At 41.4% G+C, this 4,123-nt stretch overlaps 1 annotated feature.

The window, feature by feature from the left end:
- Positions 3,189-3,358: an enhancer, noted in NCBI's record as "active region_22598". NCBI's record gives its function as "activates an Ori minimal core promoter by ATAC-STARR-seq in GM12878 lymphoblastoid cells {active_cell/tissue: GM12878}" and the evidence as "EXISTENCE:reporter gene assay evidence [ECO:0000049][PMID:35858748]".

Below are 4,123 nucleotides of genomic sequence, written 5' to 3' on the forward strand. Positions count from 1 at the left end.
GAGGATGGAAAATTACTGAGAGGAAGCATCAGGGGTAGGAGGGATTCTGGCTAAACCAATCTAACAGGATTCTTGCTGAAGACCAGCCAGGCTGATCAGACATCATCCAGAAGATGGTGGAGAATGATCAAGGATGATCAGAGGTCAAGGATGAAGGGTTATTGCTAAACTGACATAGCAAGTTCTTTGCTACACCTGGATTTTTACAAGGAAGTACACAGATGGGCCTAGGAAGAAGCTCAGAAGCCTGACTAAAGTTTGGCCAAGCAAAGAATCTTTGTAAAGTTCTAATGTGTGACACAAGGGATTGAGTTAGCTAAACAAAAGCACAACTCTTGACTTTTGTCTCCTCTCCTGTCCTCTCCTCCTCCCAACAAACATTCTCCCAACTCAGTATTGAATCCTTTGAATCCTTTGATTCTCTTATTTGATACTGCTTAGATTCCTTAGGAAGCACAGCTTATGGAGCCCAAGGAAGCCAGAGAATGATTTAAAAGGAGATTCCTCCAATTCCAGTCTTCTGAAGGTTACTTTCCCATCTCATTAGGTAGAAGGACACTGGCCAGCACTCATATTCCCAGAATGGGAGGCTATAAGCATGATTCTCTGATTTCTACCTTGAACTCAGAGACAGCCTGGAGTCAAAAAAAAGACCCTGACACAAGAGTTTCATTTGTTCATTCATTCATTCACATATAGATACATAGATGATACATACATGTGTGTTGAGCCCGGATGTCTGCGGTCTCTCTTTTGTGCCAGAGATTGCCTATTCCCTCTTCCTGGGCATCTCTCAGGCCTAAATCTGTTACTCTTCCTGTTGCTAAATCCCCAAGTGAGCGCAGGAAGCAGACAGGAAGTCATCTGCAAGAACTGACTTATAATGTCCCTTCCAGTCTTAACAGTTAATCACTCCAGAAGACCAGCCTCATTCATAAACATAGCTCTGTGACTGGTGCTAGTCATTTTTGATGTGATTCCTTATGACTGATTGACTAGTAGCTTTTTAATGAGGCCTTCAGACTCTATGCCAATGGTCTTAATTACTGTTGCTGATACATTTAAAACATAACACCACTGCTTTTGAAAAACAATTTAAAGTATACAAGTGTAGTTCACAATATGCCCTCAAGATGGCAGTACAATAATACCTTGTGCTTCACCGTATCTTCACATATTTTTAATTCTGCTAAATTATAAAACATGTTGAGGGGGAAACTTTATCATAAGAGATTGAAAAAAATGAATTTTTTGTTTTGTATTATTCTATTATTGCTACAGGAGCATGTCTGAAATAATAGCATCTCACATCTGCATTGTACTTTAAAGTATGAAAAACACCATCTCTCCCATTATTTCACTGAATCCTCACAAAAAATGAGTGTGATGATTATTTTCATTTTATGTAATAAAGTCCAAAGATTAATTATGAATGACATACATAAAACATTATGAGTTCATGTGCTCCAGTAAGCAGCATAACCAGTTTTCCAAAGACCAGAATTCTTTCCTGCAAAAAATTCTTATCTGCTTAGCAAAAAGCAAGTATCTACAGGTCCAATAACACTTTAAATATCACAGGTTATTGTGATCCAGTAGAGGTTTGGGGTTAAAATCATAGAATTTGGAGCTGAGGTTGTCTGATAAGTAGGGTGACCAACTTATCCTGGTTTGGCAACGACTTTGCCAGTTTTAGCTCTGAAAGCCACACGTCCTGGGAACACCCTCAGTCCCAAGCAAACCTGGACAGTTGGTGATGAGCTTCCTGAGTCACCTGTCCATTGGTTACCTGTTGATTGTCCAACAGCACTGTGAAAACTCCTCCAACTGGTGCCCAGCACACCACCTTACACTTAATACTAGCCAATAAATTTTTGTTAAATTCTAATTCAGCTTTGTGTTTTGCTCAGGAAAAAAAATCTTTTCTGCTGTTTCCTAGGTAAGACACAATCTTTGGACTCACTCTTGTTGATGCCAGACTCAATAGTTCAGCCATTTTGGTATCATTTTCTCATCTAGTGTCAGCGTGGTTCAAACTTCCATGAAGTTTTAGTATTCAGAGACGACTTTTTGAAAGGGGACAGCAAAGTACAGGAACTGAAAGATATTGTGCACAGAAGAGAAGAACCTTTCTCTGCTTGCCTCTACCTTAACATGGCGTAAGGCAAAACCAAGCTCTTTCATATTTCAGATACGTAAGCACTTCATCAACATTGAATATATATACACAAATGGTCAGTCTTTCCTTGCTTCACCCTTTAAACTCTCTTGGATATGTGAAGATTAACATGCCCCTAAGAACCTAAAAATAAAGTGGGATCTCAGAGTTGAGGTAGACAGGAGAGTGTATGTGTGAATGTGCTCACACACAAAGTAGATGGTATGTACACAAATGTGGGAAAACCACCCCAGACACAATTCCCTGGACATCATTGTGATTCTGCTGCCTTCTGTCCCACTCCAGAAAGCAAAGTCATTAAGCGCATTAGGAAAGCCAAAAGACTGAACGGAAAATACTTTGGGATAAAGACGCCAATGCCCTCCTTAAAAGAAAAAAAATCTTTGATACTTGTGACCTGTACAATGCTAGAAATTAAATTGTTATTCAATGTCAGAAATTAAATTGCACAATGCCAGAAATTAAATAACCAATAAATTGTTATTCCAAAAAGTGCTTTGATATTTGTACAGGTCACAAAAAATCTTTGATATTTGTGACCTGTACAATGCCAGAAATTAAATTGTTATTCAATGCCAGAAATTAAATTGCACAATGCCAGAAATTAAATAACCAATAAATTGTTATTCCAAAAAGTACACTGAACATGGGGTAGCATCTATGAAAAGTGAATGGCTATAAACTTTTAAAGTCATTGTACAAGTTCACTCAAACTACTTTCAAATGTGAAAAGTAAATGTAGCTTTCTTATTTTTCTAATCTTCACCCACCCTGACATATCTTAATCTCTTCAGTTTCAACCATTTCTTTTCAGTACAAATGGCCCTTTCAGCGACATGCTGCCCCTCAGATGTTCCTCCCCAGCCTCCTCACAAAGATGGCATCCCCACATAAATCCTGTGAGGAGATGGGTGTCAGACGTGACATGGCCTGTGGCTCTCTTACCAACGCGTTCCTTGCCTCATGTCACACTGCCACATCAGCAACTGGAGTCAATGGCTGATGATTTTTTGCGGCTTCCTCGTGTTCCTCTCTCCTGACGTGGCCCCACCGGGGCACTTCCCTCTGTGTAACCTCAAGTCTTGCTGTAAAGTCTGCTCCCTCCACAGGCAGTGAGCCCCACGTATCCAACTGTGTGGAGGGAGGGGACTAGGGAGAAAATGTCATGAAAATGAAGTTTTGAAAATATCAAGCTGATAGGGTGGGGTTTTTTTTCCTTTCTTCTCTCCAGTAAATTAAGTTCTCAGGCTGAGAGCCATTCTGTCATTATAGCCCCCAGAGAAGGATGGAGAGGAGTGAGAATACCCTTCAGGAAAGGATAGAATGGAGGAGAAGTTCTAACAAGCCAGGGGGAAGTGACAATTTGGCCTCTTTCAGACACTAGGAGATTATGGAGAAGAGAAGAGGACAGAAATACAGAAAGCAAGACTTCCAGTATTTGTTGTCTGACTTCTGACTTCTAGGCTATCAAAGAAGAGCAAGCTAGACAGTCTGAAGAGAAAGCTGCAGACTTTACAGAGCTACCCCCCTGCATCACACAATTCCAGGGGGGCACAATCATATGAATGGCCCTCTCAGCAGCTCCAGCCACTTCAGAGTAAACCTGGAAGGGTTATAAGGTCACATGGCATTGGGGCATTGCTAAGTCTTCCCGAGCTCCCGGGGATATGGAAAGTTGCTGTCGCTCCGTGTGGCATGTGGTAGGACACAAAGGGGTTAATGCTGCTGACTGATAGGTTTCTTGGGCTCATCCTACAGTGCGAGCCATGTCTACAGGGCAACTACCCAGAGTGAGAACCAAATGGGAGTTCACAGCCAGATGTCAGGGGGAAACGCCATATCCCTGACCGCTGAGGTGGGTCTGAATCAATGGACAATACCTCAGAGAAGACAAGACAAAGAGAAACTAGACCACAAGGTTGCCTGCTTCGTCAGTAAACTTCA

This window comes from Homo sapiens, chromosome 5 (genome assembly GCF_000001405.40).
Source record: "Homo sapiens chromosome 5, GRCh38.p14 Primary Assembly".
Taxonomy (NCBI): Eukaryota; Metazoa; Chordata; class Mammalia; order Primates; family Hominidae; genus Homo; species Homo sapiens.